Source organism: Homo sapiens, chromosome X, assembly GCF_000001405.40.
Source record: "Homo sapiens chromosome X, GRCh38.p14 Primary Assembly".
NCBI lineage: Eukaryota > Metazoa > Chordata > Mammalia > Primates > Hominidae > Homo > Homo sapiens.
This window is the reverse complement of record NC_000023.11, coordinates 109,439,273-109,458,105: the sequence shown is the minus strand read 5'-3', so window position 1 is coordinate 109,458,105 and position 18,833 is coordinate 109,439,273. Positions and strand designations below refer to the sequence as shown.

General features: G+C 38.7%; 1 protein-coding gene across 1 annotated transcript in view; it reads left to right on the top strand.

Moving 5' to 3' along the window:
• The window catches only part of GUCY2F (guanylate cyclase 2F, retinal), a 109,181-nt gene that overhangs the window by 23,981 nt on the left and 66,367 nt on the right, over nt 1–18,833 (top strand). The window contains exons 4-7 of the mRNA NM_001522.3: nt 4,247–4,601; nt 5,999–6,083; nt 9,941–10,037; nt 16,624–16,755. Of these exons, the coding sequence (NP_001513.2) occupies nt 4,247–4,601; nt 5,999–6,083; nt 9,941–10,037; nt 16,624–16,755 (669 nt within the window). The remainder of the gene's footprint in view (nt 1–4,246; nt 4,602–5,998; nt 6,084–9,940; nt 10,038–16,623; nt 16,756–18,833) is intronic.

Genomic DNA, 18,833 nt, shown 5'->3' with positions numbered 1-18,833 from the left:
AACCTGTGAAAAGAGAACAATAAATCAGAATAGGGAGATCTGAGGGGTGGGGACACCAGTGATGAACTTCTTAATTTAGTCTCAGGATGATTGGGCAAGGATTATAACTTTGTACCTTTATATTTTGGCCAAATTAGAATTCTGAATTAGGGTTTGATGCCTACATTCTTCCTTTTCATTGTATTCCCAATGCTTGTTTTCAGTTAAATTCTATTGGCCACAAATGTATATGGCTGGAACACATATTTTGGATATTTTTCCAAATGTACAGTTATTTGATTAAGCAAAGGAAATCCTCAGGATTTCTTAGAAAGCTTGGGGACCTTATGCTCTTTATTGCTATTGTTTTCTATTACCCTAAATATGGGTGCCTGGCAGGGGAATTCTAGGCTGCAGCAGATGTGGTTAGGACTGGAACATTCCAGAATGGGGCCCACCAAACAAGGTTGTCAGAAAAGGTTGCCTGCAGCTCACAGTGGCTAAGATTGTCTTTCTACCCCATTCTATACAAAATAAGGGTTTTGTGTTGATGTGCATCACATCAAACACATTGGTCTTTTATCCATCTCTTGACTATGCCCAAGGGTTGAGATCATGCATTATTGGAGGTACTGCCGTTAATAACAAGAATTCAATTATCCTTTGGTTTCTTGATCTGTGCATGTGCCTGACTTTTTGTTCAAAATTGATGTGCCATTTTGTCCTTCAAGTGATGGCTTTTCAAGCTAGGCATGTTTTAATGTACACTTCTGAGGATAAAATTCTTTGGAAGGCGGTTTTGTGTCTTCTCAGACACAGTAAATCTGAACTGATGGTAGTCAACTTAAAAACAGCACGAACCATTATGCTGAACAAATTCATATATTACTGTTCCTGATCCAGACCTTATTCTCTTGGATAAAAACTTTAAAAGCCTCAGGTAGAGCTATCTAAAGTAACAGAATAAAAACCAATGATATGTTTTAATTATCATTCATAACTAATTCTTTCAGGTTCAGGTCTATACAGTAGGCAAAAACAATGGGCTTAATCATCAGTGGTCTCACCATTTTGGACTGTGATGTCAACAAGGTCATCTCTCTGACAGAAGTTCTTACCAATTCTGTCTTACTTTTTTGGAGCTGTAGTGAGAAGCTGGATAGAGGCCTGTAGAGAATGCCTCTTCTTCCTGTGTTCCACCCTTTACCTTTTCTCTTTCTCGTTATTTGTGGCAAGTGCAACTAGAGACCTTTTGTGAGTGATGCTAACATTGTGTGCCCTTGATGTTTGGGAAGAGGCAATTCCCTTTGCTGAAGGGCACCATGGGTGAAGCAGGAACTCAAACCAACTACAGCACAACTCCAAGGCCTTGAAGTGACAGTGGACCATCGTGACAGCCCCTCTTTTGCAAGTCAATGCTGTTGCTATAGCTATGCTATAAGTCTCTCTACCATACTTTTGTGGCTGTGAGTACATGTGTTGTCTAGGCTAGAGAATCCTGAAGAACAGGCTTCAGGTTTCAGTCGTCTTGGGGAGTTTCTGTCAGTCAGCTCCAATGGGTCAATCAGAGCACAAAGACCAGCACAGCCTGGCCAGCTGAAAACCCAGTGTGTTGGATCAACTCAGAGGTGGGAATGTTGTTTTTGAGTTTTAATCTTCACTTTTGGCTGTAGGTAGATGCAGTTTCTTTCTCAGAAGGCTCTGTGCCTTTCAAAACAGAACACTAGCATTCTGTTTGCTTTCAGGAGCTTGCTGCCCTGTGTGTGTGTGTGTGTTTTCACTTATTTGTTTTACTAGTATTGATTTTATACTCCACTTTCCATCCTTCACTTATTGTCATAACCTACCAAAGCCCCCAGAAAACAGTCAGGGTTTTGCAGAAATTACAAAGACAATCAAATACAGCATCCAAGAATGTCAGGAGAGGGAATTAGTGAAAACCTCTTAAGGGAGCTCAGCATGTGCTAGGCAACTAAGTGTGGATACCTTGGTGGCAGCACATGCCATCCATTCATGATCTGTTTCTACAGAGTACATCTTGAGACAGGGTGATGAAGGAAGATCATTGGAATAAAACCCTCTGGAGACTGAGGTATTGATTTCTGCTCTGCTAGTAGTTAACTCTGTTATGTGGGGCAAGGCTTTTGGCCTGAACAACTAGAAGAATGGAGTAGCTATTAACGTAGACTGACAAGACTCGTTGTAGATGGATCAGGAGGATTTGGGGTGAATATCATGAGTTCAACATTGGGTATGTTGATTTTTAACATCCAAGTGGAGATATAAAAGTAGGCCATTGACTATATCAATCTGGAATTTAGGATATAGGTCTGAATTGGAAGTATGAATCTGAGAGTTATGGCATAGATCTAGTACTTAAGGCCATGAGAGCAAAAGAGATCACCAAGGAAGTTAGTGTGGACAGAGAAGAGGACCAAGGACTGAGCTGTGGGGCACTCCAGTATGAAGAGAGACGTCAGCGAGATGAAGAACCCTTAAACAGGCTATAAAAATGTCTACAAGCTAAATTTTGTCCCTGAACTATACCAAGTATTAGGAATTTTCACAGGAGTTCAGAGCCAGAAGGGACCACAGGGGACATATATTCCAATCAAGAATGCTAAACTAAGAAACAGGAGACCTGGATTTTACTCCTTATTTTATGCTCAGGTAGGTGAACTTGACAGGTCATGTAACTTCTCTGTGTCTCCCTTTCTTACTTATAAAGTAAGATAGTTAGACAAGATGACTTCTAAAGTTTAGACATTCATGATTCTGTATTCTCATTTCACAGAGGAAGAAATGGAAGCACAGAGAAAGCTGATAAATGACTTTCTCAAACATTCTGGCATTAGGCACTGATCACAGGACAGGGTATCATCTTCTATACTGATGTCTTAAAATCCTGCATGCATATTAGAATCTTTGAGGAGCTTTTAATAATGCTGATTACTGGGGTATCAAACTAAAAGCATCTCTTTTTGTTGGTCTGGGTTCGGTTTGGCATTGCTATTTTTGACACTCTTCAGGTAATTCTAATGTGCAGCTGGTGTTGAAAACTCCCACTCTACATTAACAAGACATGGCAGTGTCTTGCTATCTGCTACACCTCTCTGCATCTTGACTTTTATTTCTAATAAAAAATGATTCACTCAATTTTAAGCCCTTTTTTTTCACATGAAGGTTGTTACAGGAGCTTAGCTTTCTAGATCTTGTGAAACCAAAGTAGCAAGTATCAGCTTTCCCTGATGCTCAGTAAAATGGCATGACCATAGCTTTCTTGAACTCCATCCTAGAAGTGAAGTGACATGGAAAACCATGAAGCCATGGCCGCGTGTGTGAGGGGCCATGTCGGGGGAGGTACAGAGAAGGGAGGAATTGTTTGCTCATCCTCTCTACCTTTTTGGAAAAAAAGATACAAGATTTTATCCAAAAATAAACTTACAAGGTTAATGGGCAGTGCATCTGGGCATAGTATACAAAAACATTGTTGCTTTTACCATATTTATTTAGCAGGCATAGTTATGCTATCCACCTTAGCAGTCTTACTGTTTTAAAGTGGCTTCTTGTTGAAGCTTTGCCACTTTGCACACCAATAGGTTTTCTGACTAAAATTCACATTCTCTATACTCTACAAACTTTGGCTCTAGATAGCTGGGTGCGTATGTGTCAGGGTGGATGTCTGCGTGTGCATACATGTGTGTATGTGTAGGTATGTGTTTAAAACTGAATTCTAATGTTCACTTTCTCTGGGGAGCATGTGTCTAGAAAAATAGCCATTTTGAACTAAGACAGGATACAGACATGGACTGTGGAGACACATTATTTACAGTCTTTCCACACACACCTACCACTCTAGTAGTGCCAGCAAAATGATTTTACCATGCATAGTGCACCAGTAATTAACCTGGCATATTTACTTTGAACTCCCCTTGTCTATTCTATACTTGTTTTCTTAAGTGCCCTTTATAATTCCAAATCATTTTCTTAGTTTAGGAGCATAAAAATATATTATGTATGACTTGGTTTGCTCATAAAATTGTCATATTTGATATATTTAAAGATGTGACAGCCTGGGGGAAAAAAAAACAGAAAAATTCAGGGGAGAAACCAAGCAAGTCCTTAGAAACAATTTTTTTCCTCTGGGTCTTCATAGCTCTACTTCACTCAGATGTGCAGACCATAATAATGAACACAGGCTTGGAATATACTCTGAGATCGCTCTAGGGCGACCAGGGCTCAAGATAATTGTAATTTTTAAAAATAGGTTTCACCGTTGTTTGGAACCATCTACAATTCAATTTACTTTATCGCACAAGCCATGAATAATGCTATGAAAGAAAATGGACAGGCTGGTGCTGCCAGCCTGGTTCAGCATTCCAGAAACATGCAGTTCCATGGATTCAACCAGTTGATGAGGACAGATTCAAATGGAAATGGAATTTCAGAATATGTAATCCTGGACACCAACTTGAAAGAATGGGAACTCCATAGCACCTACACTGTGGACATGGAAATGGAGCTGCTACGTTTCGGAGGGACCCCTATTCACTTCCCTGGTGGCAGGCCCCCTAGAGCAGATGCAAAATGCTGGTTTGCAGAAGGGAAGATCTGCCATGGAGGTAAGGAATGCAAAATCACTAGTAGTCAATTTGGCTCAGCTTGGGTTACAAGGGAACCTCTTTAGGAGAAGGCACATTTTAATATTGAAACACTCATAAAATCAGTTATTTGCATTCGAGTGACATACACTTCTTGGCACTCTATCTAGTTAATTTAAAATAATAAGAACAATGAGAGGTACTTTGCAGCCTTGAATAACCATCCACAATTTAAAAGCCTCCCCACCACTCTTTTCAAAAAGAATCCCACTCTTTCCCAAAGAGCTTACTCTAAAAAGAGGAAGACATTAGCCTTCTTCTTGCTCTTTTGTAGGCTATGACCTATGATTGTTTCTCCTGCTTTCAAGGTCCCCTATCCATCCCTTGATGTTTCCAAATCCTGCCAATCAGGTCCTACCACAGAAATACCGTACCTATACTCTCTCCTCTCTGAACTCCCATTGAAGTAAAAGTCTGTACCTCACAGCTTAGCACAAAATTGCTTTTCAATTGTTTCTTGTGTACTGATTGTCTCTCCACTTCCACTCCCAAATATATTGCTTGTTGAGGGTAGGGACCATAGCTAATAATTTTTATGCTGCCCAACTGCCCAACACAGTAGGTATCCAGTAAATACTTGCAGTTTGATTGACTGGTGGAACTCCTCTAGCTTGTGGAAGAGGGGAAACTTTGTCCAATCTCTCAGAGCCAGAGGGGATCATTGGAAGGACCCATATTGTTATTATGCAACTGTATACCATACACTTTTAAAACCAAATGCATCTATTTGAAAGGGGCTTTGATTTCTACTTTGCTTTAACATGATATACCCAACTACCTCTTCACTCACATCATATTTCCCTAAAAAATCTTACTAATCTATCCAAATATTTAGATTTTATGGAGACTAATTTACATTCTGATGAAAACACTAATTATCAAAACCAGACTTACCCTCACCCTTGAAGGAGAAGTACCACGTTTTTCATCTATAACTCATATGGGCTCAGGTGAATTAAAAAGGCCTTTTATTTTATGAAGGCAAGATAATACTTAACTTTCACAGGTGAGATAACATATTTATTCTCAAGAACTCTATTGCTGTCCAACTTAAATTAAGGTACTCAAAGTTTTCCATTTGTGGACTCTTTCCTCCAAAGAAACACTCTGGTCAGCCTTAATTCATGTGATTTGTTATTGTCAGAGTGGTTAGTGGTTTTGCTTCACAACAGTGAAATTGCTTTCTGTGTCCATAAAGTCAACAAGACAGACTGTGCTGAGAAAAAATGGAATTAGGTTAGGTAGATGTGGCTTGATATTAGAGTCACCAGAAAGCATGAGGAGTCACTCTGTGGTGCCCTTTATTTACTGCCTCTCTCTGATAATGCCATTCTTCCTCTTCCTCTCACTCTCTGCAGGCATCGACCCTGCCTTTGCCATGATGGTCTGCCTTACTTTGCTTATAGCCCTGCTGTCTATTAATGGATTTGCTTACTTTATAAGGTACATTTTTTGTTATTTTTGTATATAAAAAATACAAGCCCATATTAGCCTTGTTAATACTGATTTCCAGGAAGTCCTGTTTCGGTACAATTGCCTCATTACATGACCCACTGATTTTCTTTTTTCCACAGTGGTTTACCATTCCTACAGGCCCCATTTAGAGTGAAGTGTTTTCATGATGCCAAGAATAACTTCCTCAGCTGTGTTGTCAGTGTTGTTGCCTGTGAATAGATCTGGCTCTCAACACAATGGTGAAATAAGAGAACTAGTACTTTAGGGCCTGTCTACTCCCTATCGTTGTTCTCCTTTCTCCTAGCAGAGTCTCCTATAACCATCTCCTTGCCCAAATGATATGTGATGATAGGGAATGGAATTGAGATATTTTAATGAATTCCAAGAATTAGGCAGATTTTGCTAGAATCCAAGCTCTAGCAATAATGGTATGAACTCATAGGATTATAATGGGGATTAAGTAAACTAAAATAAGTAAAGCACCTAGAACGATATGTGACTCATAGTAGGTGCTCAATAAATGGTAAAATCTCAACCCCTTCCCAGACACAAGGAACTCTCTTGCTGATTGTTGGAAGCTCAGGATCTTCACTTTGATACTCATGCCTTTTGTCCAGGGTATCACATTCTAGATTTCTACCATCTTGCTTCCTTGGGCAAAAGTTATCCTGTCTAATCATCAACATCTTTATTATCATCAAGTTTTGTCTTCCTCTCTCAGATCCCTTAGTACATGATCAAATAATCTAATGAGCTACTTCAGAATCAGGGATAAGTGGCTGAAGATGGCCTAACATGACACCTCTTTCCTATAAACTTTGCATTTTAACACTTGGACCCTCTCCATACTGGAATAATTGGGGGAAAGTGAAAAATAAAATAAATTATAACCATCCCATTTTCCCATTGCTACCCTGCAAACCACATCATTGTCACCTCTTAGTAAGGGTGGTCCTGACAACAATATGTCATGGATTGGTAGGGAATGGAGTGAGGCTGTTTTGGTGAGTTGTAAGAAAAAAATTTCTATAGTGTATTAAATAGCTGTGTGACCTTGGGTAAGCCCCCTAACCTTTCTTGGCCGGAATTTTCTTATTTGCGCAATGAAGAAATTGGATTAGATGATGTTTAAGAGCCCTCCCAGCTCTGATATTTTAATAAGTCTGGGAAATCCTGGATTGAAACCATAACAGTTGTTACTCTTAGTGTTTAAAATGTTAGCATAGCTGTGAAAACTTCTATTATCCAATTTCCCCAGTATTAGAAATTTGATAAAGTCGCACAGAGTCGTAGGTAACTTATGAATTGTTAAAACACTTGATAAAGACACTAGTTCAAAGGAAGTTTTTCTTTTAATTTCTGTAACTGGGACATATTCCTGCTAAGAACAGAAATTTAATATCTTTAACTTAGCTGCTGCCAAAGAATAAAGTATTTAATTAACATCATTAGATTCTTAGCAAAAATAAACTCTATCCAATCAAAAAGCTTCCCTCTCTAGAGAGATTTGAGGAGTGACAGACTCTGTCTACCTAATGCCAAAACATCCCATGGCAATGTGGGAAATGGAATCACTCAGCTGTTTATGTTACTTGTCAACCGCCGCAACTGACAGTTTTCACTGGTCTTTCCCACTGTATGGACTGGTTCTTTGGGCTTTGAGTGAGCCTAGTCTGCAATTCTTGGAAAAGGAAGGAAAAAAGAAAAGAAAAAAACAGTGGGGAGGGGTTTGTTTGAAGCTTGTGGGCTGAAGGGCAAAGATTGGAGAGGAAAATTATTGGAGAGGGACATGATTAGAGAGGAAAATGATTGGAGAGGAAAATGAGTTTGAGACAATTCGTACTTCAAATGGTCACAGAAAACTCAGAGATGGGAAAGAGGTACATCATTTCCCAGACTCACTTGGTCCTTGGTTCTTCAGCTAACAAAGCACAAAAGATACCCCCTCTTTGCTGCCTTCCTCCCTCTCTCTGCCCACCACGGCTGCAATCAGAAGAGCTGAGCAGCTGATGAGATTCTGTAATAGACGGTGATTACTTGCAGGAGAGTAACTCTCTGTTCCTTCCTTTTCTGTATGTTTTGATTGTTTAAGTTTTTTTTCAGAAAGAAAGACATGCAAAGAACCCAACCACCCCAAAACAAAGGATTCTTTGAACTCCTCCTTTCTCTCTACTCCTCTGGAACCAGATTGCATCGCCTTTCTATAAAGCTCTCCCGCGCTTTGTTATACTAATGATGATAATGATAATAACGATCCCTCATACTTTTATAATGCTTTATGCTTTTCAGAGCACTTTCACATACATTATCTGATTTGATTTTCAAAACAACTCTATAAAGCAGGTAATGCAAGGACTATTATCCTGCTAGATAGATGAGGACACTGAGCCATGAAGAGGATAAATTATTTATCCAAGGTCACCTGGACCTGGCTAATTAATGGCAGAATCTGCACCACACCCCAGGTCTCTGGATTGGGAGTCCAGTTTGCTTTCTACTAGAGTGTACTCTGTAGCATGATTATTTTTACAGGTGTGCCTGTTTTAAGACAATTCACCACACATATGAAACAGATCAGTTAGGGAGTGATGCTGTACTTTGCCAAAAGATTCATGTGCTCTACCCAAGAATCCACTACAGGGCTCTTTTAATTTTCTCTGCAGGGCAGCAGCTCCCACAGTGATAAGGGACATATTTGTTGGCAGACAATTAGAAACACGTTAATTGTTTGTTTACAAACCAGTGGAATCACTGAGAAAAACTGAGTTGCTGATACTTAAAGCTGCAGTGACATTGTAAACTTCTCCTTAAAGCAACTTGACGAAGCATTTTGATTCAGTGGTTGTTTTCTCCACCATGGCTCTTGGCTTTAACACATTCCACAGAGTAACCATTATGGGGTTATGGAAAAAGCAAAGCCAAATTGTAGCTGTCAGAGCCCCCAAGACAAAACAACAAAACGAGCATACCGACTAATCAAGATTCCCTCCAGGTCTTCAAGTTACCCAGTCAGACCTACCTGACTGCGTGAATACACATCATAAACTCCTATATGTCTAGTAATTGACCTGTAGAAAATAATTACATTCACTACAAATTAATGGGCATGTTTAGAGAGAATCGGGTTTAAACTGTGTCTGTAATGCTCAGACAAGAGACCAATTCAGTAAAAGAAAAAAACTCAGTCAGCCTACTTGTTTGGAATCATGTAGACAAAGCAACCAACTGACTGAATTTTTCCACTTTTCAACCTGTTGCTTTGGCAACACATAGATGCAACTTTACAAGACAAGTGTCTTATGGGCAGAAATCTGGGCCCACAGCCAGGGAGTAAGGATTCAAGTTCCAGCTCTGCCTCAGGCTAGGAGATCTCATGCCAATTTGCTCAATTTTGTTTTGTTTCTCTAATGTGTTTTTGTCTATAAAATGGAGATTAATGATTCTTGGCCCTGGTATTATTAGGATAAATACTATGGCATATGAGAAAGGGTGTTGAGTTCCTTAAATGTATTCAGAGGTGTTGTTTTGAATGTGTCCTTGATGTGGGATCACCATTTTATTAGCCTGAGATACCATTCCCATGCAGAGCCTTCGCACCTCTCTTTTGGTGCCTCTTCAAGAGCATTTTAATTTTTCTTTTTTGGTCTTTGTAACTGCAAGTTGTGCGGGCCAGGGTTGCTTCCTTCTTTTCCTGTGGGTACTATGGTAAAAATCCATGTGTGATTATCCTCCCAATTACCTTGTATACCTTGTATATTCTTTAAGTGCTATCTTAGGGCAAATTAACCCTGGCTTTGCCAAAACACCCAGTCCCTTGTGACCCTCTGATTTCATGTTTGTTTTAGGCGTCGTATAAATAAAATCCAGTTGATCAAAGGACCCAATAGAATTCTACTGACTTTGGAGGATGTAACGTTTATCAATCCCCACTTTGGCAGTAAGGTAAGGAGTATCCTCTTCTTTTGCTGCCCTGTCCAACATGGTAGCCACAAGCCACAAATAATTACTCAGCACTTGACGTGTGGCTAGTCTGAATTGTGATGTGCTATAAGAGTAAAGTACTCAGTGGGTTTAGAAAACAGTATAAAAACATGTAAAATATCTTATTAAATTTAAAAAAAAAATTAAAAAAATTAAAAATGTTAATTAAATGTCAAAATTAAATATTTTAGATATATTGGGTTAAAGTATATTATTAAAGTTAATTTTACCTGTTTATTTATTTATTTATTTTTTATTATACTTTAAGTTCTAGGGTACATGTGCATAACGTGCAGGTTTGTTACATATGTATACATGTGCCATGTTGGTGTGCTGCACCCATTAACTCGTCATTTACATTAGGTATATCTCCTAATGCTATCCCTCCCCCCTCCCCCCACCCCACGACAGGCCCCGGTGTGTGGTGTTCCCCACCCTGTGTCCAAGTGTTCTCACTGTTCAATTCCCACCTATGAGTGAGAACATGCCATGTTTGGTTTCCTGTCCTTGCGATAGTTTGCCGAGAATGATGGTTTCCAGCTTCATCCATGTCCCTACAAAGGACATGAACTCATCATTTTTTATGGCTGCATAGTATTCCATGGTGTATATGTGCCACATTTTCTTAATCCAGTCTATCGTTGATGGACATTTGGGTTGGTTCCAAGTCTTTGCTATTGTGAATAGTGCCTCAATAAACATACGTGTGCATGTGTCTTTATAGCAGCATGATTTATAATCCTTTGGGTATATACCCAGTAATGGGATGGCTGGGTCAAATGGTATTTCTAGTTCTAGATCCTTGAGGAATCGCCACACTGTCTTCCACAATGGTAGAACTAGTTTACATCCCACCAATGGTGTAAAAGTGTTCCTGTTTCTCCACATCCTCTCCAGCACCTGTTGTTTCCTGACTTTTTAATGATCACCATTCTAACTGGTGTGAGATGGTATCTCATTGTGGTTTTGATTTGCATTTCTTTGATGGCTAGTGATGATGAGCATTTTTTCATGTGCCTGTTGGCTGCATAAATGTCTTCTTTTGAGAAGTGTCTGTTCATAACCTTCTCCCACTTTTTGATGGGATTTTTTGATTTTTTCTTGTAAATTTGTTTAAGTTCTTTGTAGATTCTGGATATTACCCCTTTGTCAGATGGGTAGATTGCAAAAATTTTCTCCCATTCTGTAGGTTGCCTGTTCACTCTGATGGTAGTTTCTTTTGCTGTGCAGAAGCTCTTTAGTTTAATTAGATCCCATTTGTGTATTTTGGCTTTTGTTGCCATTGCTTGTGGTGTTTTAGACATGAAGTCCTTTCCCATGCCTATGTCCTGAATGGTATTGCCTAGGTTTTCTTCTAGGGTTTTTATGGTTTTAGGTCTGACATTTAAGTCTTTAATCCATCTTGAATTAATTTTTGTGTAAGGTGTAAGGAAGGGATCCAGTTTCAGCTTTCTACATATGGCTAGCCAGTTTTCCCAGTACCATTTATGAAATAGGGAATCCTTTCCCCATTTCTTGATTTTGTCAGGTTTGTCAAAGATCAGATGGTTGTAGATGTGTAGTATTATTTCTGAGGGCTCTGTTCTGTTCCATTGATCTATATCTCTGTTTTGGTACCAGTACCATGCTGTTTTGGTTACTGTAGCCTTGTAGTATAGTTTGAAATCAGGTAGTGTGATGCCTCCAGCTTTGTTCTTTGGGCTTAGCATTCTCTTGGCAATGCAGGGTCTTTTTTGGTTCCATATGAACTTTAAAGTAGTTTTTTCCAATTCTGTGAAGAAAGTCATCAGTAGCTTGATGGGGATGGCACTGAATCTATAAATTGCCTTGGGCAGTATGGCCATTTTCATGATATTGATTCTTCTTATTCATGAGCATGGAATGTTCTTCCATTTGTTTGTGTCCTCTTTTATTTCGTTGAGCAGTGGTTTGTAATTCTCCTTGAAAAGTTCCTTCACATCCCTTATAAGTTGGATTCCTAGGTATTTTATTCTCTTTGAAGCAATTGTGAATGGGAGTTCACTCATGATTTGGCTTTCTGTTTGTCTGTTATTGGTGTATAAGAATGCTTGTGATTTTTGTACATTGATTTTGTATCCTGAGACTTTGCTGAAGTTCCTTATCAGCTTAAGGAGATTTTGGGCTGAGATGATGGGGTTTTCTAAATATACAATCATGTCATCTGCAAACAGGCACAATTTGACTTCCTCTTTTCCTAACTGAATACCCTTTATTTCTTTCTTCTGCCTGATTGCCCTGGACAGAACTTCCAACACTATGTTGAATAGGAGTGGTGAGAGAGGGCATCCCTGTCTTGTGCCCGTTTTCAAAGGGAATGCTTCCAGTTTTTGCCCATTAAGTATGATATTGGCTGTGGGTTTGTCATAAATAGCTCTTATTATTTTGAGATATGTCCCAAACCAAATCCAGCAGCACATCAAAAAGCTTATCCACCATGATCAAGTGGGCTTCATCCCTGGGATACCTGTTTCCTTTTGTTTATTAATTGTGACTACTAGAAAACTTAAAATTACATATATGGCTCATGTTACACTTTTATTAAATAGTGCAGCCTTAGAACAGTGTTGTGGAAGTGAATGCAGTGCACTTGGAGCAATAGTTTAGCTTTGACTTTATGTAGTTCTTTGTTTATTTGGACTCAACATTTGATGGCTATTTCTTCAAGGGCAACAATATATTTTTTAAAATGTTAGCCTGACATAATGCTTATAATATAGTAGGTGCTTGTGAAGGTTTGGTGAATTAAACAACTAGTGAAAGAGTTGGATTTCACCAAAAGGTCTTCTCTGGTTGTGATTGTAATGTAATTGGTGATCTTCATTAAAGGTGTGCCTCTATGTCCTACCCCTGGGGCTAGGCCTTGTGAAAGATGACATGTAGTCCCAGATTTCAAGAGGATTACAGTTAAGTTAGAGAGACAAATCATACCACACAAGAGAGACAATGAGCACCATGTTGTACGAAGAAACTAGAATGTGGTAGGACTTCAGAGGAGGCATATCAGTGGAGGGAGGCTTTTCAGAAACTCAGCACAAAAACTGAGTCAATGAAGGAATGATAGGGTTTATTTAGGTCACAAACTGGTAACCACCTTTGTTTCACCCTCACAGTTATTTAAAAAAAAGCCAGAATTTTGAAATTGTGAAATTACATATAAAAATCTGGATTTCTGAGTTTTCTTTAAAAGTTTTAAGATCTGTCAACCTTGGATCTCATCATGACAATCGGCTATAACTCAGTAGTAGTTGCGTTTTGTGGAAAAGGCGTGTTCTTTGCAGTTTGATACAATTCCCACCACTCTATATTGTCTTATACTCAGCATATTTCACGTCTTTATATTACCTGTCTGGCCCCATAGGCGAGGTGTCCTAGGCAGAGGAAACAGTATAAACAGAAGCTTGGAGAAGAGAATATGTAGGGAAGAGTACTGTCAAAGCTAGCTAGTGTGTCTTCTTGTGCTAGTATATGTGGCCACAGTAAAGACACTAGACTGTAATTTATAGTATGGTAGTGGATGTAGGAAAAGTATACAAATACATTATGTTGTCTTCATGTGCCGTTTACTCTTGCTACACAACTGTGCCAGATTTGAGAATTAATTGTTGTCTCAGTGACCAAACTGCTCTTCTGCCTGAATGTGAAATTGAAAGGTATATTTAATTAGTTGGCTGGGTGAGAATGGATTTACATGGTACTACCCTGAGCAGTTGGAGTCAAATTAATTGTTCAGCTGTTTGATTTAATTTTCAATTATAACCCTAATTCTTACTTATTTAAATCATCAGATCTTTTTGTAAGGTTAATATTGTGTTCCTGGAAACATATTGCTGAAAGCCAAAACTGTCACTGTGGCTGAAGCCTACATTCCACCCTTGTGACATAAAAATTTGTTGATATTAGTCCCCATTTTTGGAGACACCAAAGGACCCTAGGACTCATGGTAGTGGAATTTGTCTGGATTTGCCATACTCAACATGCCTTGTATAAAATTTCCTGCCTTAAGTAGAAAGTATAGATGTTAAAATACAAGCTAGGAAGCAATCCTAATATATAACCCAATACTAAGAAAAAAGTATTCACTTTTGTGACAGGATGTTTTATCGAGAAATGGATGTTTAGTAGTAAAAGTAGATGACTAGAAGTTATTGTCTAAATGTAGCAAAATATAGTAAAGTTTCAGTCAAAAGCAATAAACCTATTTGTAAAATCCCCACTTCTTTGGTGGTATCCATGTCAAAATGACAGTTCATATCAATTGCCTAGATGTTTTAGCTCTAACATATCAAAATGATACACATAGCTCAATTTTGGATTGAATGAGGCTTTTATTTGTATAGGCTTTGCAATAGTCCAGTGTAGTCTATAAGACCTCCACCTATGCCTCCTCTTTTTTATACTGGGACATAAACCATATTTGGGTGACTAAAGCATACCAGGCCTCACAAAATTACCATAAATAGCTAAGCAGTGCTACCTTCAGGTAAACAAAGTACCTAGGGCTTTAAAATCTTGCTCACCATGATAGTTTTTTTCACTTGTGCATAAATTTTGACATGAGAATAAAAAGTCATCACTTTTTACCATATGAGTGAGAAAAATGAATAGTAAGAGGGCTATTACCGTTACTAAGGGATTGGTATACTCTTATAAGGGATGGGTAGCCTTATAGTAGGGAATGTTCTTTTGTAAATAAAAAAAAATAAATTGTTTTATTTCATTTTATTTTTTTTACTATTTTGGCCGAGGTGGAAAAGGATGGCATTACCCTAGAAGAACATAGCTCTTGGCCTCCAGATCCCTTTTGGCATTTGGCTTGTATTGGAGGTTCTGATGGGAAAAGATAGGGGAAGCATACATTTTCCTTAATTGCTGTGTAGTCACAAACTTGCAGCTGGCTGTGCCTAATCAGTCAAGAAGCCAAGCCAAGAATTCCATCCAAACGGAATGTCTGAAAGTGTAAACTCTTAGTGAATATAAAATTAATTCTGTCTAGAAAAATTGGCAGGTTAGGAGAAGTCAGGTTAAGAAAGGAAGTTTTTAGAAGAAAATGAATCTGAAGTCAAAATGTGTGTGGATTTTGGCAATTCTCTCACTTTCTCCTTTGCCCTTCATGGAGAGGTCTATATCTCAATATACAGATCTAGGTACTCCTGCTGAGATATGAAAATAAAGAATGAAAGGGAAATAGATTCCTCCCTGACCTTGCTCTGTTGGGGAGTGTTCAGGTTGATACAGAGGTTATGTGAAGAGTCAAGTTTTACATCTTGTCTGAATTTTGAGCTGTTGAGATTTCAGCACATTGCGGGCTGGGTAGAGTTTACCACTGTCTTGGAACTTTGTGATAGTCTTCATAGAAGGAGCTTAACTCTGGGCTAACTCAGGTGTAATCTTTAGTTGATCAAAGACTACTAAGGTGTAATCTTTAGTTGATCAAAGACTATTAAGGGGTAGAGTGTTGGGAAGTAGTTAAGATTAATTTTTATTGGCAAGCAAAGTAAAATAAAGCATAATGTAGTTGTAGAGAGAGCACAGGACTAGAAAATATAATACCAAGATTCTTGTCCCAGTCCCGATGTACTTCTCTAGGTCTTTGTTTCCTAATTATAAAATAAGGATGTTGGAGTTGAGGGTAGGGGCACTCCTAGACAATACCAAAAGGTAACGGCTAGCTCTGGATTGCTTTAATTCTAAGAAAGGCACATTTGGAGGTATGGAGAATATGAGGAACCTGTTGACTTATATGTCTTCATGTGAAATAAGTCTACTGGTTCAATTGAAGATACAGAGGTTCAATTTTAAAGGTTAACACAGATTGCAGGTAACTCTTCCTCTTGTCATTCAACTGTGCAGTTCCGAGCCCTTTCCTACCAGACTTATGTGTGCAAGTTCAAAAATCAAGAAATAGAGAATGTGACCTATTTAAGCATCAGACTCATAAATTATATATAGGCATGTGATCTGCTCACTCTCTACTATTATTGCTTTCTGGGATACCCTCTGCCGTTAATCTTATCTGCACAAAGAAGTATGCCATTCAGCATAGTATCACAAAAAGAGCCACTCCTGAGAGTCAGCAAGGTGGGATGCTGTCCTAGGTCTGCTATAGATTTTTTTTAAATGTCAGATTTTTACAAACAATAATCTTGTAACTAAATAATTGACTAGCTATATGATATTAGGAAACTTATTTCATCTTTTTTTTTTGGTCTTACTTTTTTGTCTATAAAGTGAGGGTCCCAGATTAAATTATGACTGGCATTCTTTCTTGCCCCCATCTGTATTTTAATCCTCTCTAGGAGGTGGAAGCACCTTTATAATTTTTTGGTGCTGCATGGTGGTTAAACAGGGTACCAACACTGAACTGAAAAAAAAAGTTCAGAAGGATAGGGAAAATGAATCAATCTCATGTTTACAGGGTTCAACTCATATGGTTATTTTCTTAGGAATAAAAAAGAAAATTCAGATAAGCTCTGTGCCAAATCATGAGTATTTTGGTCATAACTTTTCTTTCCTAATCCTTTCACAGAGAGGAAGTCGTGCCAGTGTAAGCTTCCAGATTACCTCAGAGGTCCAAAGTGGGAGGTCCCCAAGACTCTCCTTTTCTTCAGGGAGTCTAACTCCAGCTACCTATGAAAACTCCAACATAGCGATTTATGAGGTAAGATATTCAACAGCTGTCTAATCTACTGCTTTCTTGGATTTCAAAATGAGGCAATGATTTAGTAATTAGTCTTTGGGTAAAAATACTGGGGCTTTTGGCAAGTCTTTCCAGTTTGGTGTCTGTGTTTGCTTATGGACTCGTTTGGTTGACATTCTTAGCAATTATTTTCCTCAGCAACAAATCTACTTATTTATAACTTCACTGATCTTTCAACTCCATGTATTTACTATGCATGTAGAAAAAAGTTCTTGAGACCCAAACATTTAAATGTGTCTGTCACTCCAGAAGATATATAGATAACAATAGAAGAAATGACTCCCTGAGTCTATTGTTTGTAATGAGATGTCTAGAGACATGCGTGTGCATGGCAGGGTTTGGGGTACCCTTCTCTTCAAATTCTAGTTGTTCTTCCTGTACTTGTTATCCTCTGATACTGAGACTTTAAAATTTATTCAGTTATTTATTTTTCTTCACCTGTTCTGCCTCTTGGAGTAACAGGTTACTTTCTGCTGCTGAAAATAGAAATCCTTTTTATTCCACTGAGGTTTCTGTGTTTCAAGCTTTAAGAGGCCACCCTGTACCACCTGATCTAAGATACTAGAATTTGGCAACCAGAACAAATCTTGCATCAGAGAGATGAACTGTTTCTTCTCAGCAGGAATGAGTTAAGCAGGGGGTAAAAGGGAAACTAGACTGCCTTTCTGTTCCTTCTAAGTGAGGCCTTCTCAGTGTGGTTTCCTTGTTTTGTTTGAAGATACTCCCAAGAGCAGCAAACACTCTCAACTTAACAGTAACTACAAAGAAAGTCCAAAACAGGACAGAATGAGTTTTTAGATTGTCAACCACATTGGATTTTTCAAGTGAATACTCTTCTCCATTAGATAAATAATTGACAGGGACCTTACTATGGTTTGAATGTGTCCCTCTCAAAATTCAGGTGTTGAAACTTAATGGCCAATTGATGGTATAAAGAGATGGGGCCTTTAGAAGGTGATTAGGCCATGAAGGCTCCTCTCTCATCAATGGAATTAAAACCCTTATAGAAGAGGATTCATGCAGTGTTTGGCTAATTTGCCCTTCTACCTTCTGCTCTGGGAGGACACAGCATTCCTCCCTTCTGGAGGGTGCAGCAACAAGGCACCATCTTTGTAGCAGAGAGCAGCCCTCACTAGACAACCAAACCTGTTGGCACCTTGATCTTGGACATCCCATCCTTCAGAACTGTAAAAAATAATTTTCTGATCTTTATAAATTACCCAGTACTAACAGACTAAGACAGAAATTGGTACCAGAGCAGTGGGTTGTTACAAAAAAATACCTAAAACTGTGGAAGTGGCTTTGGAACTGGGTAATGGGGAGAGGCTGGAACACTTTTGAAGGGAATGCTGGAAAAAGTCTTGATTGCTGTGAGTGGAGTGCTAAGGGAAATTCTGGTGAGGATTTGGAAGAAGAGATGAACTGTATGGAAAGCCTGATTCTTCTTGGAGATTACTTAAGTGGTCGTGAACAGAATGACCACATTGGTAAAAATATGTACGTTAAAGACAATTTTGAGGAAGTCTTAGATGGAAATGAGGAATGAAGTTGGAAAAGAAGCATTCTTTTTATAAATTGGCAAATAACTTGGCTGAATTATGTCCATGTTCTAGGACCCTGTGGAATGTAGAATTCGTGAGCAATGAATGAGGATTTTTGGTGGAAGAAATCTCTAGGCAGCAAAGCATTCAGGGTGCTGAATAGCTTAACTGCTTATAGTAAGATGCAAAAAGTGAGAAATGACTTAAAGACAGAATGTATTTAAAAAAAAAACAAGGGAATCGGAACATACAGAGTTGTAAAATTCTCAGCCTTGCCATGTGAAGAATGAAAAAGTATGTTTAGGAGAGAAAACCAAGAGTGTGACAAAAAAAAAGTTTGATAAGGAGATTGGTATGGATAGAAGGAAGCCAGATGCTATTCATCAAGATGACGGGAGAATGGGAGAATGACCCCAAAGACATTTTAGGGATCTTCAAAGCTGTCATGTCCATTACAGGCCCAGAGTGCCGGGGCCTTGAGGGTCAAACTGGTTTCAA